The sequence below is a fragment of the Homo sapiens genome, chromosome 1, assembly GCF_000001405.40.
Source record: "Homo sapiens chromosome 1, GRCh38.p14 Primary Assembly".
NCBI classification, from domain to species: Eukaryota; Metazoa; Chordata; class Mammalia; order Primates; family Hominidae; genus Homo; species Homo sapiens.
This window is the reverse complement of record NC_000001.11, coordinates 114,740,090-114,766,984: the sequence shown is the minus strand read 5'-3', so window position 1 is coordinate 114,766,984 and position 26,895 is coordinate 114,740,090. Positions and strand designations below refer to the sequence as shown.

Sequence of the window (26,895 nt, the reverse complement as noted above, 5' to 3'; positions counted from 1 at the left end):
TAAAGTATATATATAGAGAGAGAGAGAGAGTCAGTGTCTCACTCTGTTGCCCAGGCTCACTGCAACCTCTACCTCCTGAGTTCACTCCGCTCAATGCAACCTCTACCTCCTGAGTTCAAGCAATTCTAGAGCCTCAGCCTCCAGAGTAGCTGAGATTGCAGGGGCCTGCCACCACGCCCAGCTAATTTTTGTATTTTTACTAGAGACGGGGTTTCACCATGTTGGCCAGGCTGGTCTCAAACTCCTGACATCAAGTGATCCGCCCGCCTCGGCCTCCCAAAGTGCTGGGATTACAGCCATGATCCGTCACACCCAGCCTGTTTCAGTGTTAAAGTTGTAAAAGACAAAGACTAAAGAACTGTCATAGAAGGGAGACAAAGGAGACATAAAAACTAAATGCAGTGTGGGATCCTAGATTTGATCCTGGAGGAGAAAATGGACATTGTTGGAATAACTGGTGCAGCCCAAATTAATTTTGTATTTCAAGTCATATTATCATGTCAAAGTTGATTTCCTAGTTTTGAAAATTGTTCTATAGTTATGTAAGGTTAAAATAGGAGAAGCAAGTACAGAGTTTATGGAAACTTTCTGTACTATTTTTCTACCTCTTCTGTAAGTGTAAAAATCTAAAAAAAAAAAGTTCATCCCCCTGATTTCTAATGAGGCTGGGTATAATTTCAAGTATTTGCCTATACAGGTTTTAAAAAAAATATGGACCTTCAAGTATTTTCTCCATTTTCCTTTTCTTTCCTTTTGGCTTTTTCTTATTAATGTATTATATATTCATGATACCAATACATTTTTTATATAATGCAAATATACTAGTCTGTTGATTTTTTAAACTTTTTTATGTTGCCTCATGATGAATGGAATTTTTAAAATATGGTCAAATTTATTACTGAAAAGAAAGAGATTCAGAAGAGTTAGACTTTGTGAAGAAGTTTTAGGAATACCTTAACAAATTTATTTTGCCATTTTTTTTTTTTTTTACTTCATATACACACAAAAGGGAGACATGATTTAAATCTATGTCTAGGCAGGGCACAGGTGGCTCATTCCTGTAATCCCAGTACTTTGGAAGGCTGAGGCAGGAGGACTGCTTGAGCCCAAGAGTTCAAGACCAGCCTGGGCATCGCAAAACCCCATTTCTACAAAAAAATACAAAAATTAGCCAGGCGTGGTGGTGCATGCCTATAGTCCCAGCTACTCAGGTGGCTGAGGCAGGAGGATTGCTTGAGCCTGGGAGATGGAGGCTGCAGTGAGCTGAGATCATGCCACTGCAATCCACCCTGGACAACAGACTGAGACCCTGTCTCCAAAAAAAAAAAAAGTTTAAAATAGCCCTTTCAATAAATATAAAAATTCTAAGTAGTGAAAGTTTTATTTCATAATTGTATTAGTCAGTTCTCGTGCTGCTATAAGGACATACCCGAGACTGGGTAATTTATAAAGAAAAGAAGTTTAATTGACTTTCAGTTCTGAAAGGCTGGGGAGGCCTCAGGAAACTTACAATCATTGCAGAAGGGGAAACAAACACGTCCTTCACATGGTAGCAAGGAGAATGAGTGCTGACAAAAGGGGGAAAAGCCCCTTATAAAACCATCAGATAGGCTGGGAGTGGTGGCTCATGCCTGTAATCTCAGCACTTTGGGAGGACGAGGTGGGTGGATCACTTGAGGGCAGGAGTTCAAAACCAGCCTGATCAACATGGTGAAAGCCCATCTCTAGTAAAAAAAAAAAAAAAAAAAAAAAAAAAAAAAAAAAAAAACTCAAAATTAGCTGGGCGTGGTGGTACACACCTGTAATCCCAGCTATTTGGGAGGCTGAGGCAGGAGAATTGCTTGAACCCAGGAGGCCGAAGTTGCAGTGAGCTGAGATCGTGCCATTGCACTCCAGCCTGGGCAACAAGAGCAGAACTCCGTCTCAAAAATAAATAAATAAATAAATACAAATAAAACCATTAGATATTGTGAGAACTCACTCACTATCATGAGAACAGTGGCACAGGGGTAACAGCCCCCATGATTCAATTACCTCCCATCAGGTTCCTCCCACGACATGTGGACATTATGGGAACTACAATTCCAAATGAGATTTGGGTGAGGACACAGCCAAACCACATCACTCCGCCTATGACCCCTCCCGAATCTCATATCCTCATATTTCAAAACATGATCTTGCCTTTCCAACAGTCCTCCAAAGTCTTAGCTCATTCCAGCATTAACCCAAAAGTCCAAGTCCAAAGTCTCATCTGAGACAAGGCAAGACCCTTCCCTTATGAGCCTATAAAATCAAAAGCAAGTTAGTTACTTCCTAGATACAATGGCGGTACAGGCACTGGGTAAATATACCCTTTCCAAATGGGAGAAATTGGCCAAAACGAAGGGGCAATAGTCCCCATGCAAGCCTAAAATCCATTACACCAATCATCAAACCTTAAAGTTCCAAAATGATTTCCTTCGTCTGACTTGATGTCTCATATCTAGGTCACATTGATGCAAGAGGTGGGCTCCCACAACCTTGGGCAGCTCCACCCCTGTGGCTTTGCAGGGTACAGCCCCCCTCCCAGCTGCTTTCACAGCTGGCGTTAGGTGTCTGCAGCTTATCCAGGCATACGGTGCAAGCTGTCAGTGGATCTACCATTCTGGGGTTTGGAGGATGATGGCCCTCTTCTCACAGCTCCATTAGGCAGTGTCCAGTGGGGACTCTGTGTGGGGGCTCCAACCCCACATTTCCCTTCTTCACTCCCCTAGCAGAGGTTCCCCATGAGGGCTCCACCTCTACAGCCAACTAATGCCTGGACATCAAGGCATTTCCGTACATCCTCTGAAATCAAGGCGGAGGTCCCCAAACCTCAATCCTTGACTTCTGCACACTCACAGGCCCAACACCATGTGTCAGCTGCCAAGGCTTGGGGCTTGCACCCTCTGAAATAATGGCCTGAGCTGTACCTTGGCCCCTTTTAGCCACAGCTGGAGTTGAAGTAGCTGGGACTTAGGACACCGTGTCCCAAGGCTGCACATATCCCAAGGCTGCACAGAGCAGGGGGTCTTGGGCCTGGCTCAGGAAACTATTTTTCCTTCCTTGGCCTCCAGGCCTGTGATGGAAGGGGCTGCCATGAAGGTCTCTGACATGCCCTGGAGACATTTTCCCCATTGTCTGGATGATTAGCATTTGTCTCCTCATTACTTACGCAAGTTTCTACAGCCAGCTTGAATTTCTCCCCAGAAAATGGGTTTTTCTTTTCTACTGCATCATCAGGCTGCAAATTTTCTAAACTTTTATGCTCTGCTTCCCTTTTAAATACAAGTTCCAATTCCAAACCATATATTTGTGAATGCATAAAACTGAATGCTTTTAAGAGCACCCAAGCCACCTCTTCAATGCTTTGCCACTTAGAAACCTCTTCCATTAGATACCCTAAATTCTCTCTCTTAAGTTCAAAGTTCCACAGATCTCTAGGATAGGGGCAATATGCTGCCAATCTCTTTGCTAAAGCATAGCAAGAATCACCTTTATTCCAGTTCCCAACAAGTTCCTCATCTCCATCTGAGACCACTTCAGCCTGGACTTCATTGTCCATATTATTATCGGCATTTTAGTTCCAAACTTTCCCACATCTTCCTGTCTTCTGAGTCCCCAATTCTCTAGGAATTTCCAAACCTTCCCACATTTTCTTCTTCTGAGCCCTCAAAACTGTTCCAGACTCTACCTGTTACCAGTTCCAAAGTCGCTTTCACATTTTCGGGTATCCTTATAGCAGTGACCCACTAACTCCTGGTACCAATTTGTTGTGTTAATTCATTCTCATACTGCTATAAGGACACACCCAAGACTGGGTAATTTATAAAGGAAAGAAGTTAAACTGACTCACAGTTCAGCTTGGCTGGGAAGGCCTCAGGGAACTTATGATCATGGTGGAAGGGGAAGCAAACATATCCTTCTTCACTTGGTGGCAGGAAGGAGAATGAGTGCTGAGCAAAGGGGGGAAAGCCCCTTATAAAACCATCAGATCTTATGGGAACTCACTATCACAAGAAAAGGAGCATGAGGGTAACTGCCCACATGATTCAATTACCTCCCATTGGATCCCTCCCATGACATGTGGGGATTATTCGAACTACAATTCAAGATGAGATTCAGGAGAGGACACAACCAAACCATATCAATAATGAAAATGGCTACATATTTTCTTCTAGAGCTTTAGGGTTATTTTATTTATTTATTTATTTTTAAATTATACTTTAAGTTCTAGGGTACATGTGCACAACGCGCAGGTTTGTCACATATGTATACATGTCCCATGTTGGTGTCCTGCACCCATTAATTCGTCATTTACACTAGGTATATCTCCTAATGCTATCCTTCCCCCCCTCCCCCATCCCACGACAGGCCCTGGTGTGTCATGTTCCCCTTTCTGTGTCCAACTGTTCTCATTGTTCAATTCCCACCTATGAGTGAGAACATGCGGTGTTTGGTTTTTTGTCCTTGCGATAGTTTGCTGAGAATGATGGTTTCCAGCTTCATCCATGTCCCTACAAAGGACATTAACTCATCTTTTTTTATGGCTGCATAGTATTCCATGGTGTATATGTGCCACATTTTCTTAATCCAGTCTATCATTGATGGACATCTGGACTGGTTCCAAGTCTTTGCTATTGTGAATAGTGCTGCAATAAACATATGTGTGCATGTGTCTTTATAGCAATGGCTACATATTTTCTTATTAGTAATCCATAAATGATGACCTACCATACAATCACTACTGCCTTGGATTCAATAAAATAAGTGAAATTTACTCATTCAATGAATATTGTTTAAGTATTTACTGTATACGTAAGTCACTGTGCCAGGTTTTGGGGATACAATGATGAACTAGAGAATTGAAGCTTATGCTGTAGTTCAGAGGGATGAGCAATAAACAAATGGAAACTGATAGTTTAGTGGGTACTTTTACTTTAGAAAAGGCCTTTGTAAAGTGGTTAACATTTGACCTGAAATCTGAATGATGAGAAAGTGCCCAAAGATTTGGGCTAGAACATTCCAGGCAGAGACAACAGTAAATTCATGGGCCTTGAAGTAGGAACAAACTTACAATATAGGAAGAACCAGTTAACCAGGGGTTAGAGAATTTGGTGGGGACTATATCATTCAGGGCCTTGAAGAGCACAGTAAAAGAGTTTGGATTTATGTTAAATACAATTGGATTTCATCAGGATTCAGTTTAAGTTAAATTATAAATATTCTGTTGCTCTACCCTTCCCTCTATTAACTGACTCCCAGAGCTACAATGTTAGATGGTTACTTTTGGTGCAGCATTTTAGCATGTCCACATAATTATCCTATTAAGTGCAATTTTAACATTTTAAAGGGAAGCATTATATAAAGCTTTTGCATTCTTATTTAAATTCTAATATTTTATTACATTAGTGGTATTATGTTATTCTTATTTATATAATGCCCTTTAACTGTTTAGAGGCTGGTTAAAGAATAAAAAGTTTTGGGTTGTAGGCCTATAGGACCAAATCTTAATTATTTACATTAATTCTTATGGAAATAATTCTTCTTTATGAATGTTTTTGCTCTAGAAGTATTATTTCTGTTCTGAAACCTTGGATGTGGACCTCTTTACCATGCACTATTATCATAATTTTATCTTATTTAATGAAATATTTTTTAAGACCTTGTCTCATTCTGTTGCCCAGGCTGAAGTGCAATAGCACGATTATGGCTCACTGCAGCCATGACCTCCCAGGCTTAAGCAGTCTTCCCATCTCAGCCTGCTGAGTAGCTGGGACCACACATGCATCACCATGCCTGGCTAATTTTCAATTTTTTTGTAAAGACGGGGTTTCGCTACATTGCCCAGTCTGGTCCGGAACTCCTGAGCTCAAGCGATCCTCCCACCTTGGCTTCTAAAGTCTGGGATTACAGTTGTGAGCCACCGTGCCCAGCCTATCATAATTTTATAAAAGAAGATCCTCTTTAGTTTCCCTAAACAGGGAGGACATGTCAGAATAAAAACAACTCTTAAAATCTGGAATAAATTTAGCCTTATTTAATTTTTTTAAAAAAGCTCTATATTGACCTAATTTTTCTCATTCGACAGAGAAATGACAAAAATCTCACCCACCGCTGCTCAAGAAAACCTTACAAACTGTAAGAAATGCTTACTTTTGATTCTAAAGTAGACTTCAGAGATAATGTACTTATTGATGATTGTAGAGGGAAAAAAAGCACACAATCATTATCAATTTCATTGTCTAAGTTTTTCAGAGTAGAAAACTAAATATGATGAATAACTAAAAATAATTTCTCAAATTTTTTTCTGATGGTTCCTTAACAGACTATCTTCCCAAAATCCATGTCACCCTGTTGCATAGGAGATGGTTTTCCAAAGTGATTTAACAAGTTTCTGATTTAATTTAAAAAAAAACATAAAAAGATAACCACATTTTTTCAGTTTTTGATTTGACTTCAAAATTCATCTGAAAAAAATCATTATGTAGTGATCTAATAATGAAACCTACTTCTGTTTGTGGGTTTTACTTGTAGAAACAGTAAATCATTTTAACTTGTGATTTATATCAAATTGTTCCACCTGTTACTTTCTTTAATGCATTAGAAGCTAAAATGTATATTTCTCGGTTTATACAGACTGCATTTTGTGTTAAATGTAAATTGATATTAATTTTGGAACAAGGAGGAATTTAAAGGAATTTAAAGACAATTGGGATATATTCAGAATGATGATGATGAAATGATTATATAATTAAAGAAGGTTTTCAGAAGCTATGTGTAATGGTAGAAATCAAGGCTTTATCCTTCCTTATTAATAGTAATTGTATTGATATAATTTAGTAAGACTTTTTTTTTTTTACATTTCCTATTGCTGTGATATTTGAGAATGTATACTAAAAGTAGAATTACCTAATTACCTAATTAGTTTCACATGACCTCATATCTAGCGCAAGAGCCTGGTACAGTTTCTCTATAACATTAGATTAGAATACACAGACCAGCTGTATTGCAGGAAGGGGAGATCTCGATTTAAGAACTGGGTGAATTAAACAAAACAGCTGGTTTGAAATATTTACATTCTGGGCCAGGCGTGGTGGCTCATGCCTGCAATCCCAGCACTTTGGTAGGCCGAGGTGGGCGGATCACCTGAGGTAAGGAGTTGGAGACCAGCCTGACCAACATGGAGAAACTCTGTCTCTACTAAAAATACAAAATTAGGTCGGGTGCGGTGGCTCATGCCTGTAATCCCAGCACTTTGGGAGGCTGAGGCGGGTGGATCACGACATCTGGAGTTCGAGACCAGCCTGGCCAACATGGTGAAACCCTGTCTCTACCAAAAATACAAAAATTAGCCGGGTGTGGTGGTGCACGCCTGTAATCCCACCTACTCAGGAGGCTGAGGCAGGAGAATTGCTTGAACCCGGGAGGCGGAGGTTGCAGTGAGCTGAGATCATGCCATTGCACTCCAGCCTAGGCAACACGAGTGAACTCCATCTGAAAAAAAAAAAAATTTACATTCTGTAGTTTCCCAGAAATATATTCCAATTTCTAACAACTTATCATACTGTTGTCCAGTGCTATTTATTCAACAAGCTTTTGAGAGTTGTTGAGAGCGGGCACTGTCAACAACCAGGGATGCAAAGATGAATTTCATAAGCTCTGTGCTAGAGTATTACTACCTAGTAAAAACTAATAATTACAATAGAGTGAGCTATGAAAGCATTGAAAATGAAGCAAATATTTGTGCTTAGGAAAGCGTGGGAAGGCATCAAAGAGAGCAAAAAGGCAGTTTTGAGGTGTTATACATGGGACTGGACACCAGCAACAAAGGTGGTGAGGAAATTTTTGAACAGAAATGGGACACGGCCTCCTCTTAGAATTCAAGAGGTTGAATTGAAGGTTGTCTTTCCTTCATTGCACTTATTCCAATGTGTATGTTTAGATTTGTTTTTGTGATCATCAATGATGCTAGACTAAAAGTTCCTTGAGGACAAGTCTATATCCGATTTTCTTTACAACTGTATACTTCCCAGTGGTTACACATACAACATGTCAAATAAATGTGTTGTAAGCAAAAAGTGGGTAGGAGAGTTCTCAGAAGACTGGCTGCTCATTATTTATCCAATACTGTCAAGTGAGAGAGCCAGTGAATCTGTGAAAACAGAAGCATTGAATCTGGGAAAAGCATTCCTCTCACCAGAGGAGCATGCTCTACTGTCTGGCAGGGGATAATCCATTGAACTTCCTGTGGTCATAATTACCCATTTTTCTCCTTCCTTCTTCCCCCATTGGATGAATCATCTCTTTGCTCTTATTTCAACCTTTTAATTACTGATCCACCCTCTTTGATTACCTGACACAACAGGAATATCTTTCGTAACTTGAAAGGTCAGTTGACTGAATTTGTTTCATTTTGTTTAGTGATTATGCAGCCTTGCTCACTCTTGTGCATCTGTTGCAATGTTTTTCGTGGAAAACAAAGGTCTCATTTAGATTTCTAAATTACCTTGCTACAAAGCTGACTCTATACTAATGAAATTCCTCTAAAACAGTAGACGTAAGAAAGAATGCTTGCACTATAAGAAGAAACGAGTGTGAGGTCCTTCCGGATTTTTGCTGGGAAAAGATAAATCATTTTTTATGACTCCTGAATATGCCATCAGAATTGTTGGCCTTCAAGGTTTACCCCATTATTGTGGGCTAAAACGTATTCAAACGCTCGAAGACTAGAGACGCCTAAAGCCACCCGCCACCCCTAGTGTCCAGGAGGAGTCAGTAAACACCGAGATTGCTTCCCGCAGCACACCCAAGAAGGAATGTAATGTAATGCAGCCACCATGTTGGTTGTGGTTAAGTGCAGCAAACTGCTTGGCGTCACTTAGCCCTGCTGCGCAAGCGTGTTGAGAGTACGCTTCACTCCGCCCCTTCTCGTGCACGCGCCCGGAGCCCGCAACTCTCGCGAGAGAAGCGAGATTTATTCCTACGTACCGGGCCGTGCTGCTTATGGCGGCGCTGGAGAGGGGGCGCTGAGCTGTTGGGGTGAGTACGACCTCAGGGTCCAACTGGGGGTAGCAGAAACCCAGGGGAAGGGCTGAGAATAAGACCAAGGCTAACGAGAAGCCTTCTGAGTCAAGGTGGGCACTCGTAGAGCTCTAGGTGGGGAAGAATGCACCCCGATTCCCTGCCCTGGGCTTTTTCATACGTCTCCCGTTCAACTGCCTGGGCCTCATGTCAGGTCGCAGAGCTGAAACGAGGAGTTGAGGCCAGCCGGCTGCGCGTGGTGGTAGTGGTGGTGGTGACTAAAGTGGGGGGAGGGAGCGAAAATGGAGGCTCCGACAGCAGCCAAGATGGAGGCAGAGGGTGCGGGGCTCGGGCGCGGAGGCTGCTGGGATCTGTAGTCTGGCTGCTTCCCCATCTGCGGCTTGTCTGGGGAAACGGGAACTACATGTCCCGGCGGGCGGGGCGAGGGGGTGGTGGCGCGGTCCTTTGTGTGAGGTTGGAAGAGCCTGAGACCGAGAAGAGGGGCCTACTTTGACTCTGGACCCTGTAGTTTCCTGGCCGTTACCTGCTTGGGAATCTGACTACCAGTACCAGAGCGCAGTGCGGCAGTGGCGCCTTCTTTGTGTATAGACTGAGACCCTGCTCCATCTAGATATCTTAGGGGAAGTGTTTAAAGACACCTTTCCCCAGCCACATCTGGCACAGTAGTGTGGCGGAATTGACATCGTTACTCCAGTCACCTAGAGCAGGGTCTCAGCACCCAACCTTCCCCTCATTGTCTCCCCTTCGGCGTCTTGAGAAAGGGAACCAGTCCCTAATCTTTTAGGCACGTGGCTCCCACCCCTCTATCTTGGGGAATGGGCGTGCGCCCTGAAAGCTCAGTAGTGTCCTCCCTTCCACCTCCTGTAGTTCTCATGGTGCCAGCGCCTGGCCCACCCACATTGTGCAATGAACGGCCTGGCTTCGTCATTCTATGTAGAATGTTTTAGAGTTCCCCCGTCGGAGACAGCTTCAAATTTTTGCCATGCTATTTTATCAATACGAAATCTTAGTGCCAAGGTTCTTTTGCTTTAAGGTTTTCCCTTAGAAACACCCAGATGGCGGCCGTCTTGCTTAACTCACAGGTGAAGCAGAGAACGCTCCCTGAAACAGGCTTGAATCTGCAAAGAATATCTGAACGTTGTTGGGCAAGTTAATTTTCGTGTTTTGCACCTTAAATGAGTAAAAGAATATGGCGCTCTTTAAACAGTTGGGAGACAGGGCGGAGAGGGAGAATGCTCAAAGGCACTGTGGTAGTTAAATCTTTTTGAGAGGCTTAAATTTTCATCAGGCTGGTATGAACTGGCAGTTCTCAGCCACTGCTACTAACCTACTTTTTTAGAATGTAGGTTTCAAATTATAGCCCACAGATATAAGCTACTCTATACTAAAATGCTGAGTAATTTTCATTTTGAGTAACTAAAGGCAAACATTCTTGATATTGCATTGAGGAGCACTATAATACATACCTTGGTTTTCTTTTGGTACTAACCAATAATGGATATCCTTGGTGTGGGTAAGGAGGGGCTTTATATACTTCAGTAGGGATATACCTGAGTCATAAAACTTAGATAAATATTTGGCCTTCTTTTTGTTTCGTTTTAGCCCTGGGACTAAAATAAAAGAGAAGGTAATAGTTTGGTTTTGCAGCTGTTCTGGATGTTTACCATCGAGATGATTATTTATAGCAGCTGAGTTGAAAACTAAAGTATTTGAGGCACAGAAGATAGGTTTTCTTTTTTTGTAAGTACTGACTTAAGTGTGACCTTTAGCGAGTGTGGGTGAAAATCTGGTAAAGTCCTAGCAAATCAAAATTGAAAGCGTGAAAGCTGACGTGCAGTCTGGCTTTACCCTCTACCCTTATTTTCCCTTCTCCCCACCTGAAGACACATCGTGTAGGGCCATCGATTTTTGTTTTAAACAAACAAAATGCTAAAATATCAAATTATGCTGGAGCATTCATAACATGAAATTTAGTGTTCCAGTGTTTTTCATTGTACAGTTCAGTGGCACTAAGTCTATTGAAACTGTTGTGAGAGCCATACTTTCGACAAGGTAGTTAAAACATGGAAATTTTGGAACGATGTTCTTTTGGACAGATTTTTGAGGAGTTGAATTTCAGGACTGTATTGCAAAATGAGATAAAAATCTTGATCTTGTTAAGTAAACACAAAGAATTGATGTGCCTTCTTCTTAGCTTTGTCCTTGCAGAAAACAGAAGAGGAAGCACTTTGAGATCTATTTTGTAAGCTTTAATAGCTAGACTGTTGTAAGTGGTGAAACTACTATGGTGAGAGTGACTTGCTGTTAAATCCCTTCTGCCCAGTCAGGATTTTAAAAAGTCCTTTGTTTTGATATTAGAATGTTTTCCACTTGCATGTGTGGGTACCTAGTTAAAAACAACACAAAACTTTTTAATATTTTAATGTCCTTTTATGCTGAGGTAAAACAGTGTGTGGCTGAAAATTATCAGTTTCCCCTATGTTGCACATGTAAGCTATCCGTTGATTTGCAGCTACAGCCGGTACATAACCAGTTATTTGCACTTCTTTTTCTCCAATTTATTAACAACAAGCTTCTATGCTAGATACTGCCTACTTTTATTAGTGAAAATCTTTGCTCAAGACCCTTACATTTACTTCCTGTTGCTAATTGGCACAATAGTGCTTTTTTAGACCCCTGCTCAGTTTATACCTACTCTGTGGAACATGGTAGCCGCCAGCCACGTGTGGCTGTTGTGCACTTGAAGTGTGACTAGTTTGAATTGAAATGTGCTGTGATTGTATAATAACATTGGATTTCAAGGAATGTAACAGTGTCAATTTTTTTACATTGATTGCCTGTAGAGAATAACATTTTGGATATAATTGGTTAAATAAGACGTTTAATTAAAATTCCTTCTGTTTCTTTTGACTGTAATATGGTTACTAGAATTATAATTACACTGTATTTCTGTTGGAAACTGCTGGTCTGTGGTGTTTTCTGATGTGTCTAGAATGTTTCTTCAGCATCTTCCCACACTGCCATTTGTCCTGCTTAAAACTATTAGGTTTCTGGGTGTATATATAAGCAGTTAAGTGATAGATAATTTTAAATATCTCAGTAGCTGTTTAGATAATTAATCCAGCACAGTTGTTACTACACAGATACAAAAAGATAGTTGTGTCAGTTTGATTTTTTATTTTTACTCAACAGATGACTTAGGTTGGTTAATTATCTAGAGTTTATCGTTTACCTTAGATCCTAAAGTAAAAATGAATTAAGACCTATTAAGCACTTCAGTTATAAAATGTGGTGCTCAATGAAATGTCAGGCAATAGAGAAACTTTTCAGTCCTATGCTACCTATTTGGGTCTTTGTTTTTTCCTGCCTAAAAGAAGATACTGCCTAAAGGAAGTGGGTTAGGTGAGCAGACTTTTGTAGACTGGCTTAGCCTTTCATTAACTTTTCCCGAAGTGAGTGCTGCACATACTTTCAAAATAATAAACTAGGTAGTGTGATACATTTTAGATGGATTACTTACCACATAAATGTGTTAGTTTAACCTCTTCATTTAGTGCCGACTATGTCATGGCTTATGCTAGGCCTTTGAGGTAAAACAGCCGAGGAAGACATGAAATAAAACAGGTGGTGGCCAGGTGCAGTGGCTCACGCCTGTAATCCCAGCACTTTGGGGGGCTGAGGCAGGTGGGTCACTTGAGGTCAGGAGTTCGAGACCAGCCTGACCAACATGGTGAAACCCCATCTGTGCTAAAAATACAAAAATTAGCCAGCCAGGCCTGGTGGTACACGCCTGTAGTCCCAGCTACTGGGGAGGCTGAGGCAGGAGAATCGCTTGAACCCGGGAGGTGGAGATTGCAGTGATTAAGTAATAATACTATTTCCATGCTGAGCAAAGGGAAAAGGAGTTGATTACTTAGCACACAGTATGATTCTCAGATACACATTTAAATTGTTCCCTAGTGTTTTTATTGGTACCCTATGGTGGGTTTGTGGGGGCGATTGTTTTGAGTCAGCGTCTTACTCTGTCGCCCAGGCAAGAGTGCAGTGGCACAGTCATAGCTCACTGCAGCCTCAAACTCCTGGATTCAAGTGATCCTCCTGCCTCAGCTTCCCGAGTAGCTGGGACTACAGGTGCATGCCACCACACCCAGTGAATTTATTTTTTATTTCTAAAATTTTTTGTAGAGACAGCATCTCACCATGTTGCCCAGGCTGGTCTCAGACAATCCTCCCACCTTGGCCTGCCACAGTGCTGGGGATTACAAGCGAGAGCCACCACCCCAGCCCAATACCCAGTGTTTCATGCAACTTAAGTTTCAAGCTTTTAGGGGGATGGAGGAGATGCACTTGTGTTCCTAGGGTTAAGGCAAAAGAGGTGGTTAGTAGCACCAATTAATGTTAATCCGGGCATGAGTGGATAGCTATTTATATTAAACTGCCTGACCAATACCTTTAAGTTCTTCAGTAAGTGTTAATTTAATTGAAAAACATTTAGTTAACTATAGAAGCTGTGAAGATGTTAATTCGGCCAGTAAATTATTCATGACTGTTGGTGGGTTCGTTTGAGCTTTAATAGCTCCTAATAGACCTCATTAGTGCCTAAGAATGGCCCTGCAGTACTCCAGAGTTTCAGTTCCAGAAATCTCTTTTTTTGTGTTACTGAATCTTGGACTTGACAGTTCTTAATGTGATACGACAACCTGGAATGGGTTAATCCAGTTCAAGTGTTTCAAGATAACTTGTTTTCTCCATGTTGAGTTCTTTGGGTTCATTAATACACCTAAAGCATTAAGATAAAACCAATATACACAGTCTGTATTTTTTAAAGAAGAGATTATTTCTTGATTGGATAATTAAAACTATATAATTAAAGGTGGTATAACTGTTTACACTTGAATTGTGGCATAACTGTTTACACTTGAATTGTGGCGTCCTTTTGCTTATTAAGGATTAACTACCTTTTTCCTTTGGTTGTATATGGCAGCACTGGATTAGGTGCGAAAGGAGGCTGTGATAAAGAAATTTGAGTTTACCTCTCAGAAATTTGAAATAGAATTGGAGGAACAAGATACATAAAAACATGAAGTAAACAAAGTACAGAAATTGCTTGGTATCACTTGCTGCAAATTGCTTGGTGCAGGCAGTGGATGTTACTGCCCCATTCATTAGTAGGAATTAATGAATGAGTCTGCTGGAATGGTCAAGAAAGGCTTTTTTGTCACCTTGAAGATCACAACATAGTATTTTTTTGTGGGAAGACCCATATAAGCAAAGGTGGCTAGAATTCAGGAATCTCCCAAGAGTTGTGTTTAAGGATTAGGCGAGGTAATGGACTTCTGGTAGAACTGGAACACAGTAGAGAGTAAGGATGGAAGGTAGAATAGAGACACCTGGAATAGTAGTTCTTAATCCTGGCTGGAAGTCAGAAACACTTGGAGCAGGGGTTGGGGGGAGATAACAAGGCCTGGCACCTAACCTAGTGTAGTTAAATTTAGAATCTTTGTACGGGACTCAGGCTTTGATTTTGTTGGTTTTTGTTTGTTTGTTTGTTTAAGGTTGCTGGGGGTGGGTGGATAGCCAGGATTAAAAACTTCCCATCTAGAATGGTGGAAAAATAACTGAAGATGTTTGACAGGGGAGATGAGAAATGAAATTGGAGAGTTTTTGTTTTGTTTTGTTTTTTGAGACAAGGTTCTGATCTGTCTCCCAGGCTGTAGTGCTGTGTCACTATCTTGTTCTCTGCAGCCTTGACTTCCCAGTCCTAAGTAGCTGAGGCTCCAGGCGTATACCACCATGCCTGGCTAATTTTTTGTATTTTTAGTAGAGATGGGGTTTCTCCACGTTGCCCAGGCTGGTCTGGAGCTCCTGGGCTCAAGCAGACCTCCTGCCAAGGCCTCCCAAAGTGCTGGGATTACAGGCGTGAGCCAACTCACCTGGCCAAAATTCAAGTTTTTGATAGTCTGGTGGTGGTATGTGACAGAAAATGGAAAGTGTGCACACTGGAAGTTGGCGGATATATTAGACACCTGAGCTAAAATATGTCACTTAGTAGGATAAGAGATGAATACAAAAGATATAGCGAGGGAAATACTAACACAACTTGCAACATTGGGTATGGTGATGGAGAGGGGAAGAATCAAGATAGTTAAAGAAGTGGCCCTACCTCAAACCAGTTGTATTACTCTGAGTGGAGGCTGGGCATAGGTTTGTTTTTGTTTTTTTTTTTTTAAAGCTTCCCAAGTATTTGAGCACCATTACCCTGAGACATATATCTAGTCTGGGTAATAGGAGAATGATCTAAATAAAGTTGAAAGATCAGACAAGTGTATGTAACATTTGATATTTGAAGGAACATGGGATGTTAGAGAATAGAAAATGGCCAGATCAGCTGTTATTGAGTTTTTATTTTACATGTGAGGAAAGTGAAACTTAGAGAGATTAAATAACTTGTTCATGGTATTTACTAGTACCAGTGATTGCGATTAGGCTCTTCTGGTCTGAGCTATTTAATCAGCTCTGACCTCTCACCTGATAATCATTCTTCTGATGTTTTCAAATATCCATTTCTCAGCACGTACACCTTTTTCTTATCTCTGTAGAAATAATTTTCGTTAACACCATTTTGTAACTTTGGAGTCAGTGCAAAATTGTTGTTTATTTTATAGCTAATATAAAGCAGAAATGTGATTTTTACTGATAAATAAATTTTATTTCTCTTCTATAGACATTTCTCATCTATTTACTGCAGCAGTGCAAATGAGATTTCTGTTTGCTTACTAAGTCATCTCCTTTAGGATTTCAAGACTTAATACCACTTTCATCAAAAACTAAGGCACTGTTTCCTGTTACATCACGTTGAAATGCTTCATAATCGGGCTCCGCTACACCTGTCACACTACATATCCTATTTCACTTCAGCCCAGCTCTCTGTTCTAGCCAGGCTAGCCTGTTGATTTTCCTCTGAAACAACAAGCCACACATGTTGCCACAGGCATTCATGCAGAAGACTTCACTTGATGCTGGGCTTAGAAAATCATAGAATGCATGGTCGCTGCTCTGAAGAAAGAATTTAGTGGCATATTCTCGCTTGACTTATGTGCTGTTTCATGCCTAGAATACTCAGCTATTTTCTTTCTCCTAGAATTCTGCCTGATTTTCCAGGTTCACTTCAAATTCCACTTATTTAAAAGCCTTGGTTGCTTTGATGGACATGCAGTTGTGGATAAACAATAAATAATATTTCTAGATAGTCTGTGACATAATAGATACCTAGATACTAATTGAGCAAAATAATTTTTGGCATTTTTGTCCTATACTCTGTTTTTTTTTTCCATGTTTACATCTTGTCTTTTCAGCAAGATTGTCTATGCTCTCATGGCAGGGACTTCTTTTATGTTTTCCACAGAGCTAGATCCTTATAAAATACTTGCACTAAATTAAACATTATGCCATGTAACTGAGCTTATTTGGGGGAAGAGGTCAATAAAGACTATGGAATAATTTGAGGTCTTGGGTATGAGATACCAAAGGAGGTAGTTGCTAGTACTTGAGAGATTGCTCCAAATAACATCAGATGAGCATGCTTCCAAGTTTCCTGCATTACTTGCATGACCCATGATTCTAAGTTAATGAAATGAGTTTGTCCCTCTTCTCACCCACTGTCCCTGATTATTTTATGTATGTTATACTTAATGTCTTCATTTTTTACCTTTAGTATGAAGTGTAACAGAACAGACTTTACCACCTGAAACTGCTGCTTCAAGTTCAGATCAGGCAAGGAACAAACCTCGTAACAACTAACAAGACCAAAGAAGAGTACACTTAAGTTGAAGACACAACACTTGATCTGAAACAAGAAGTTTGTGCCTACTCAACAGCTTTGAAAGAGCACTTCCCAACGCTGCTAGTAGTCTTTGTTTTCTTCAGTGCTGTACTGTGAGATTGCCCGGTACAGCAGCAGTTGTATTCTTTATTAGCTTGGTAGATCATTTTCTCTCGCTCTTTTTTTTAATACTAGCAACTTTCATCCTTTGAAACGTGTGCTGAAAAAGAAGAATCAGCAAATACTACTGAAAGTGCAATATTTGAGTATCACTGCGAGGTAGGTTTGTAATTTCCTATTAAGAATCAGTTCCATAATTCTAGATTTCCTGATTATTTGGTCAAATATAAAATCTTTATTTGTTCTTTTCTAAAGGTATTCAGAAGACAGTTTTTCTATTCTCAACTAGTATGAAATATCAACACTATCTCTTGTTAGATAAGGACAGTATTTATGGTCAAACATTTTTCATACCAGATTATATTAATACATGCTGATCTCTCGACTTGCTGGTCTCTTAGAGAAGCTCCGTCTGTACTATTTAGAAGTTAGGATTTCAAATAAGAATGTGCATTGCAGTCTTTCTATGAGGGTCTGTGAAACTTTGGTGATATTTGCTACTGACGTCTGTTTCTTTCTCTCTACTGTCTTCAATGTTAGCTTCTTGAGGAAAGAACCTTACTTTATATCCATGCCTACATTTGCAGTGCATATTTGTGAACGGTATACAGTGCACATTTGTAAATGGTTGACATGCCTACTGTATTGTTAGGCATTGCTAGTGCTGAAATATAACGAATGAATAAGATACTAATGGACTTAATGATTTAGAACAATTTGTTACACAATATCACAATATAGGCTAAAAGATACTAATAAAATATTAAGAATATAACTGAAGCTGTTCCCTTGGAGGTAAGGAGGAGGGTAAAGAAAGCCTACAGAAAAGGGATATTTGAAGGTGAGTAGTACCTTGTTAAGAGGTAGAAGAGACATTGGTAGAGGTATAGAGGTAACAGAATTAGCAGATTCAGGGCTACGTGAAAGCACATGGTATATATTAAGTTGTTCATTATGAACAGAGTAGAGAATATAATTTTGCGGGAGAGTTATGAAAGGGAAGTTTGCTGGAGGCTTGGCCCAATGCATTTGTCTTTATTCCGTAGGAGAGCCATCAGATGTCTATAAGCAAGGGCTTAAGGGTTTTTCCCCCAAAAGTAAGATAGCTTTATTGCTTCACATTTTAAAGTAATATTCAGAAGTGTACCTTTAAAAGACAAATGGTGACACTTTTGAGGGAAAGGCTGAGGATGGGAAGACCTGTCAAAAGCAGTGGATCAAGTATAAGGAAGATAAAAGCTAAGGTGTAGGTAGAGAAAAAGGTAGGTGCTAGGTGTTCTGATGATTTAGAAGTGAGGACTTGGGGACCAATTGAATCTGAAGATAAATGTGGAGAGAATGGCTTTATCAAATCCAGTTGTGCAAACTAGAAACCTTCATTGTTCATAGGAATAGGGAAGTTAGAGTAGTAACTTACTGATATTAAAATATGTTATGGAAATCTATTGTGTTCATTAGATAGCAATCTGAAGTTGAAGGAAATACACTAGTATGGAATATTGAACAGTGGTTAACTTTGAGGGTAGGCTTATGAAGAGCAATTTTCCTTTTTAATCTTTAGTTTCCAGATTTTCTAAAGTTAGACATAAAGGAATTCAGAAAGGAGTCATCAGTGTATAGGTAATAAAAGGAAGAAGCACCAATGAAGAGAGCAAAGACATAGAAGTCAGGAAAAAGCACCAACGATAATTTCAGGAAGTCAATGGTAAACATTTTTTTAGATGCTACAGAGGTCAAATAAAATGAAGAATGAAAATAAGTCATTCAGTTACAAAAGCTTCACTGCTATTTCAAGAAGCGCTTAGGACTTTATTTCCAATTTATTGAAGGATTATGTAATAGTGTCAGTGACCTTGCTGTGCACTAGAATTATTCCTTAACAACTAAAAACTATAGTAAAATTATCTATGTCTCATAAACAGACACTGTTATTTAATTTTAAGGTAATTGTAGCATTTAGTTTTTCTATTTGTTTCTTCTTACCTTAGCTGATTTTTAAAAAATAATTTTAGACTAATTGTTGTGGATTCTGTTGGATTAGATAGGGAAGATTAACACAAATTGAAACCACAATTTTATGTTCTGAAGCATAAAAGATTAGATTTTTTTTTTTTTCCTCTCTGAGACAGAGTCTTGCTCTGTCGCCAAGGCTGGAGTGCAGTGGGGTGATCTTGGCTCACTGCAGCCTCTGCCTCCCAGGTTCAGGTGATTCTTCTGCCTCAGTCTCCTGAGTAGCTGAAATTACAGGCGCGCATCACCATGCCTGGCTTATTTTTGTATTTTTAGTAGAGACGGGGTTTCACCGTGTTGGCCAGTCTGGTTTTGAATTCCTGACCTTGTGATCCACCCGCCTCGGCCTCCCAAAGTGCTGGGATTACAGGCATGAGCCACCGTGCCTGGCAAGATTAGATATTAAGGCTTTCATTTCATTGACATGATTTATAGAAATAGATTTAACGAAGTCCTTTTTGTTTAGTGTAATCTTTGTATTCTGAATATTAGTTTACTACATGAACATTTTAATATATAAATGCATCCATAGCTGTCTAAAAATTACATGTTTACATATGTACAAAGAAACCACAATTGGGATGAAGATTATTGGCAGTAAAACATGGCTGTGGTTGTACAGTTGTGAAATAGTTCAGTTAAAGGGGGCACACAGCTAAGAAAACAGATTTGGTAATGCAATGGAACCCCCAGATTTTAAAGGGGGGTTTTGTAAAATCAGTAAAAATAGTACGTAATTAGGAACAAATATATATAGAAGGGTAGAATTAGCCATAAAATGGCAAGAAAGAATAAGGCTTATAAAGCATTTGTTTGAGATGTGAAAATAGACCTGAATTGTTTGGTGAATGATTTGATCCAGGTTAGTCTAAAGGTGACAGACAAGAGAAAAGCAAAACTAGAAAATTCCTGTCGCGCTCCTAGTTTTTTCTGCTGAATGCAATAATTTTCATACTTGAAACATAGCAAAGCAAGAGAAAACTGAGGCCCCAGATGAGTGAGAAAATAACAGGATTACTTGGCGGTTGCTAGGGTGCTAGTTGCTAGGTGTGTGATAGTAGTCAAATAGAGACCTATGACAGGAACTGTAAATGTCCTGATTTTTCAGTCAGATGTGGGAACTATTGAGCTTACTTTTCATCCCTAGCAAAAACCCCAGAGCCAGTGAATAAATAACTTGGCAGACTAGCTCATGATAGCATAATGGTCAATATGGAGAAATGTTGGATGGATAGCAGTTAGTAAGAGACTGATTTTAGAGAAGTCTCCAGGTGTATGCTGCCAGATGCTATCCTCGCCCTGCTTTTTTCAGAGACCTAATGAGTAGTTCTGTGAGTACCTATGTGCTACGTAAGCACTTATTTTAGGCTTTTTACGTGCAGCAACTCATTTAACCATCTCAACAACTCTGTGAGACAGGTGTTAAGGTAGGAGAATGAATGATTAAAAGATAAACTACAAAGAGTCTGATAATTTAAAATTAGTCACCAAATTGGAATACTAGATTAACCAACAGAAGGCATTTTAAAAGCATTAGGTTATAGTTTTTTTATTTGGGAACAAACGATCCATTACGGAGGAACTGAAAGAAAACCTGATTTCGCTAATGTGATTTGTGAAGAAATGATGGGGATGTGTTTTAGTTTTACAAAGTTATAAAACTTCAGTCTACAGAATCAAGGAGTGTAATCACTCAGTACTTTATATTGGTCGGGTACATTAAGAATAGTAGTGAAATGCACTTTAATGAATAATTACTTAGAACCTATCCAGAAGACAGCAATTAGTGTTAAAAATGGTTGTGTTCAGAAAATTGGAAGAAACAGTGGAAGTCAAGGGGAGGTATGTCTGAGAATACAGAGTAGTTTTCTAAAGATCTTATGGTGAAATAGGCTACCTTTTCCAAATTGATTGTCAATCAGTAGAAGCCAAGCAGACCAGATTAGGGGGGAAAAACAACTTAGATGTTGTAATAAATTACAAAGCATAGATTTCCACCCCCTCTCCCCAAAGGAACTTGGAAACCAGTTAGGTGCTCCCACTTTACTTTTGAGGAAAAAATCCCAGAGATGTTAAAAGTACTTGAGAGTCAGGACTGAAAGCCAGTCTTTTGACTTTTATGTTCTTCAGGGAACTTTAATCAATTTCTTGAGTTACAAATGAAGTTTAAATTTGACCTGAGATTTGTTCCATTTCTGCTTTTATTAAAGGAGGACTAATTTTGTCAATGACTTTTTCAGTTTAAAAGTAAATATGTAGAAAAGGGTAGAAGGTCTAAACTTTATGAGGCTGGAGATATTTGTCTGTTGTGTTACCTACTATATGAGTAGAACCTAAAATAATGCTGATGCATTGTATGAACTTAATTGTGGTTGAATGAATAAGGCAGTGGTTAAGAATGGAGTCAGAACTGGATTCTGTTCCCACATTTGCCATTTTTAGCGCTGTGCCCTTAAGATGGCTAAGTGTTTTCTCATCTGTGAACATTAGATTTTCTGGTCTTTAAATACATTTGAAATCATACTGTATAAATATCTTATGTCTCATTTCCTATTACAGAATAAGCATTTTCCACATATTGTTTCCAATGACCACATAGCATTACATAAGTTACAATGACGTCTTGAGCTATAAAGTGTGTTAGACTTTATATTATTTCCAGGAATTTGCTACAAAAATATATTTGTTAAAATACTTGTGTATAAAGCTTTTTTCACATTTCAGATTTCCCCAGGAGAGCTTTTCTGCAATGCAGTTATTAAGAAAAATATCTCCACATTTTGATACATGTTGCTAAATTGCATTTCTAAAAGGTTGTACCAATTTACTACCATAAAAGTGGTGTGTGTGTTGTTCTTAGCTCACTTTTTCATTATTTTAAAATCTTACGTCTTTGCTAGTTTGGTATATGAAAGTATTAATTTGCTTTATCTGGATTTTTTATTGCAAAAATTCAAGTTTTTTTTTAATGTTTAATGTTTTAGCTTTTGTGTATAAAGTTTAATAATTGATATTCAAGAATGATTTATTTGCTCACTTAATCAGTAATTCAACATATGAGTGCCTGCTCTGTGCCAGGCACTGTTTATCTAAAATCTAGGGATTTAGCTTTGAATTGAAAGTTCTGCCCCTCAAGAAGCTTATATTCTGGTAATTTAATTGTACTGATTTGCCCTATCTACTCTGGTGTATTTACACTTTTCCCCCAGGTTTGAGTATAAAAGCTTGTGCTTTTTGTATAATCAGATATCAGTCCCTTGTGATTTTTTTTTAATTGATTTCAAATCTAGAAAGTTCCGCCCTTGCAAAGATTTTACAAATATACTCATCCATGGGGGTGTGTGTGTATGTTTTGGGGTTTTTGTTTGTTTGTTTTTGTTGTTTTGTTTTTGTTTTTGTTTTGAGACAGGGTCTCACTCTGTCACCCAGGCTGGAGTACGGTGTCAGGATCATGGCTTGACCTCCCAGGCTCTGGTGAACCTCCCACCCCAGCCTCTTGAGTAGCTGGAACTATAGGCATCCAGCTAATTTTGGCTAATTTTTGTATTTTTTTGTAGAGACAGGGTTTTGCCATGTGCCTAGGCTGGTCTCAAATTCCTGGGCTCAGGTGATCTGCCACCTCGGCCTCTCAAAGTGCTAGGATTACAAACGTGAACCACTGAGCCTGGCTGGTTTTTAAATATTTTTTAAGACATTAAACTCGGTTCATTTGAATACATTTTTACATGCTGTTAGGCAAGCAACTAAATTGTGGATTTTTTTCCCCCCTATTTAAAGAAGAAGTCAAGTAACATTTACCTACTGGGTCCTTCCTACCACCACCTTTGTTAGCATCTTTAATTTTTTATAAACAAGGTTCTGTTAAATTATCTACTTCCATTTGTCCTATACTTTCATGTAATTGTTTTTGTGATAACTTCCATTTTGCTTGTTTTTTGATGGTGCTGATTAAGAAATATTTGCAATGCCATTAAAATATAGTTTAGCCAAATTATTAGGAATTCTTTGAAAAGTATTAACATGTCACATGTCACATCAACTTATCTAAAGTTGTTTGAGTGGTGTGTTTCCCTTTGGAAAAATAAAATAAAGGCTTCCTCCAAATGGATAAAGGCTAGGGAAAGAGAGCTCTAGTCAGCAAAGATTCTGGGAGAAGGGGAAGGCTTTTTCAACTCTTTTGGTATGTGTCTAGGGATGAGACGGAGACTCGAACAGTAGAGCCCAGATTCCAACATTCTTGTTGGGGAACAACTTAGAGTCTTAAAATGCTAGCTTTGATGCTTTCTAATTCTGGTTCAGTCTCCCTTTGGGTGAGAAAAAGAGGATTTCTATCTCCTACCTGCAGTGATGTGTGGCAGGATTGGAGACTTGAGAATGGGGATATTTTGCAGCTTTAAGGCATATATATTTCAGATCATATCATTGTGTTCTTGTTTAATAGTAATCAGAACTATAGTCTAAACATGAGGCCAAGTGCAGTGGCTCACGCCTGTAATCCCATCACTTTGGGAGGCCAGGGCGCAGTGCAGGGGCCGGATCACTTGAGGTCAGGAGTTCCGAGAACAGCCTGGTCAACATGGTGAAACCCCGTCTCTACTAAAAATACAAAATTTGGCTGGGTTTGGTGGCGCACACCTGTAGTCCCAGCTACTTGGGAGACTGAGGCAGAGGGATCACTTGAACCCAGGAGGCAGAGGTTGCAGTGAGCCAATATCGTACCACTGCACTCCAGGCTGGGTGACAGCGAGACTCCATCTCAAAAATAAATTAATTCAGCCTGGGTGACAGAGCAAGACTGTGTCTCAAAAATAAATTAATTAATTAAATAAACAAACAAACATGAAAGAAGCACAGCTTGAAAGTCCCTCAGTGATCTAGAATAATGGTTCTCAAGTTAATTTTATACTGCTTGTCAGTTAAAAACATGTATTTTCGATATGTGTATATGTTTACAAATTGTGTAATTATAATTCTGTGTCTGCATTGTAAAACACAGTGGTACAAATAGGAAAAATGTGAAGTGAGGGATATTATAAAAAGTTTACTTGTGCAGAAATGTTCTGTTAGAAATACTATGTTCTGGATTGCTGGTTTTTAAGTGTTTAATTTTAAAAAGCTTTATAATATCATGAATTAGTATCAGGGAAATCTACATTTGTGTGTTGTATTGCAACTAATTTAAGTCCATGTCATAGTCTTGATCTTAACTGTTTGGCATACTTACCATATCTCGTTAGATGGTTTCTTAATGTGGAGGTTGAAGAACTAGTACTAGGAATAGAAATGTCAGTTCCCTTGCTCTTTGCATGTGCTTGCCTTATCTTCCATCTGAGGTTCTTCTGCGGGAATCTTTCAACCATTTGTCTATTTGGGCTTTTTTGTTTTTCTGGGATGGAGTCTTGCTGTGTTGCCCAGGCTGGAGTGCAGTAGCACAATTTCGGCTCACTGCAACCTCCGCCTCCTGGGTTCAAGCAATTCTCATGCCTCCCCCTCCTGAGTAGCTGGGACTACAGACCCATGCCACCATGCCTGGCTAAATTTTGTATTTTTGGTAGAGACAGGCTTTCACCATGTTGGCCGTGCTTGTCCCAAACTCCTGACCTCATGTCCACCCCGGCCTCCCTGTGCTGGGATTACAGGTGTGAGCCACTGCATCCGGCCTCATTTGTCTTATTTGTGAAGGTAGCTTAGTTACACTAGATAACTAAATTTATATATCTCCTTATCGGGCATACGGTAATACGGTAAGAGCAAATGAGTGAGGACTTCACTGTTGGCCTCTTTTGGAGTTCTCCACTCTTTCCTCAGAATACCTGAGTAATACATGATACTCATAGACCATCTGACATACCAACTCGGTGAAACCTAGACTATAAATACATAGTAAATATTTATAAAAGCTCATTTTTATCTCTGGGCAGAAAAATAGTCCCAGTTATTTTCTTCTGCACCCCATTGGGTTATCAGTGTGTACTCTAGGGAGACTAGTGACTAAAAATGATAGGTTCTATTTAAAGTTGATCGGCATTGAAAAGAAATTGGACTGAATAGTCTCACTCCAACAACCATCAAGAGTCTTTGTGGCATTTTCAGAATTGTTGATGTCATCGTATGTTTTAATGGCTTTAAAAAAAATACATTTCACCTTTTATAGTAATGTTAATTCTATGTATTTCCTGTCAATAGAAATCTAATTTATATTTCGCTAAACCCAAGCTAAAAATATATATTGACTGTGAAATGTGCATTAAATTGTTATTGATCATAGTTATCAACATTATGCTATGTTATAACAGCTGTTTGAGATGGAGAACGTTTTTACTGTGTCATCAGATCCTCATCCCTCTCCTGCAGCCCCTCCTTCACTTTCTTTACCCTTATCTTCATCTTCTACCTCATCTGGGACTAAAAAACAAAAGAGGACCCCAACTTATCAGAGATCTGTAAGTCAGGAAAGCAGTCATCTCAGCTTACCTTGCTTTGTGTTAAGAGCATGACCTAGGATTGCCACTCATTCTGGTTGAAATATCTTGCCGACTCACCTTCTAACTTCCCGAATCATTTTTTTCACCTTCACTCTTGAAAGATAACTTCAGTAGATTAGGGTCTTACTGCCCAAAGTATATCTAAGAATCAGAAGCATTATTATCACCTTGGATCTTAATAAAGATGGAAAATTTCAAATCCCCATACCTACTGAGTCTGATTTTATATTTTAACTTCTCATTTGAGAAGCCCTGGTTTACAGCCAGACCTTCTTGGTTTGAATCTTCTACTATTTGACTTTGGCAAGTCATTTAACTTCTCTGTGTCTGTTTTCTCATTGGTAAAATGAGGCGAATACAATACTTTCTTGTGGGCTTTTGTGAAAGTTAAATGAGTTAATATATGTTAAACACAGAACAGTGGCTAGTGTAGAAGAATTAGGACGTAACCACCTACAGGTGTGGTGGCTTTGATTTACGTGATTTGACCATCACACATATCGTTGACTCAAACTTTGGTTTATCTTTCTAGAATTTGTTACTCTTTTTTCCTAGTGAAAATATATCCTTTTTATTAATAATGCCCAACATTCCACTTAAATGGAAATACTTATAAATCAGATTTTCAGTGAAAGGGTCTAAAACATAATTGTAATGATTTAGAAATGTCATTACTGTGGTAAATTATAGACCTAGGCTTTGCTAAGGATTTCGTCCTGTTTTGTGCTTCACTTATAGTTTTTGTTGTTTTACTCAAAGAAGGGAAATGGAACATCCAATGTGATAGTATTTTATGACCTAGGCAGATTCCATTATATTGCTTTTAAATAGCTCCTATTTCACTAAAGAATGGGAACGAAGTGATAGTTACAGATTTCATCAGTATGTAAAAAGTGAAGGGTTTCTTTTAGGTAAAGATTTCTTTAAATGTACCTGTGAAATGATTCAGCATTTTTAAAATGGAAATGCTTTTGCTGTCTTGGAGTTTTGTTGTTTCAGAAGTTTTCTACTGCACTATTTTGGATAGTCTTTCATTAAAGGACCTAAGCATGAATTACTCTGAAATTTTCTAGTTTAAGTATTGCATAGAAAGTTCATTTTATTGTGTTAATCTCTACTAACTTGAAATATGCCTTCCAAATGCATGACTTACTAAACAGTATTAAGGTATTGGCTGAAGTTTCAAAATAGCGTTACCAAATCTCTTAAGAGTCTTTGGTAGTTTGTGGTCGCTGTCTCTTAATATTAATTACCTTTGTTCTGAAATTGTTGTTTTAGTAATTTTCACTTCATGTAAAGGCAGCATTTGCTAATGTAGTTGCTATACCTTAATATTAAACCCCAGAAATTCTATTTTTGTCTGATAAGTGGAAATTCTACCATAATTTGGGGCAA

At 39.1% G+C, this 26,895-nt stretch overlaps 1 protein-coding gene across 6 annotated transcripts in view, besides 6 other annotated features; it reads left to right on the top strand.

Moving 5' to 3' along the window:
* Positions 8,456 to 9,449: an enhancer, noted in NCBI's record as "NANOG-H3K27ac-H3K4me1 hESC enhancer chr1:115300157-115301150 (GRCh37/hg19 assembly coordinates)". NCBI's record gives its function as "activates a minimal SCP1, AML or CMV promoter by ChIP-STARR-seq in naive H9 embryonic stem cells {active_cell/tissue: H9 hESC(naive)}" and the evidence as "EXISTENCE:reporter gene assay evidence [ECO:0000049][PMID:30033119]".
* Positions 8,456 to 9,604: a biological region, named in NCBI's record as "NANOG-H3K27ac-H3K4me1 hESC enhancer GRCh37_chr1:115300157-115301150".
* Positions 8,795 to 9,084: an enhancer, noted in NCBI's record as "active region_1551". NCBI's record gives its function as "activates an Ori minimal core promoter by ATAC-STARR-seq in GM12878 lymphoblastoid cells {active_cell/tissue: GM12878}" and the evidence as "EXISTENCE:reporter gene assay evidence [ECO:0000049][PMID:35858748]".
* CSDE1 (cold shock domain containing E1) overlaps positions 9,001 to 26,895 on the top strand; it is a 41,069-nt gene continuing 23,174 nt past the window's right edge. For 2 of the 6 annotated variants that reach the window (NM_001130523.3, NM_001242891.2), the window contains exons 1-3: positions 9,001 to 9,060; positions 16,778 to 17,164; positions 25,312 to 25,458. In NM_001130523.3, coding sequence (NP_001123995.1) covers positions 25,321 to 25,458 — 138 coding nt within the window. In that variant the 5' untranslated portion in view covers positions 9,001 to 9,060; positions 16,778 to 17,164; positions 25,312 to 25,320. The remainder of the gene's footprint in view (positions 9,061 to 16,777; positions 17,165 to 25,311; positions 25,459 to 26,895) is intronic. The other 4 variants (NM_007158.6, NM_001007553.3, NM_001242893.2 and 1 more) reach the window with 2 other exon arrangements.
* Positions 9,285 to 9,604: an enhancer, noted in NCBI's record as "active region_1550". NCBI's record gives its function as "activates an Ori minimal core promoter by ATAC-STARR-seq in GM12878 lymphoblastoid cells {active_cell/tissue: GM12878}" and the evidence as "EXISTENCE:reporter gene assay evidence [ECO:0000049][PMID:35858748]".
* Positions 24,091 to 24,291: a silencer, noted in NCBI's record as "peak383 fragment used in MPRA reporter construct". NCBI's record gives its function as "represses an SCP1 promoter by STARR-seq MPRAs in K562 erythroleukemia cells {active_cell/tissue: K562}" and the evidence as "EXISTENCE:reporter gene assay evidence [ECO:0000049][PMID:32103011]".
* Positions 26,171 to 26,371: a silencer, noted in NCBI's record as "peak382 fragment used in MPRA reporter construct". NCBI's record gives its function as "represses an SCP1 promoter by STARR-seq MPRAs in K562 erythroleukemia cells {active_cell/tissue: K562}" and the evidence as "EXISTENCE:reporter gene assay evidence [ECO:0000049][PMID:32103011]".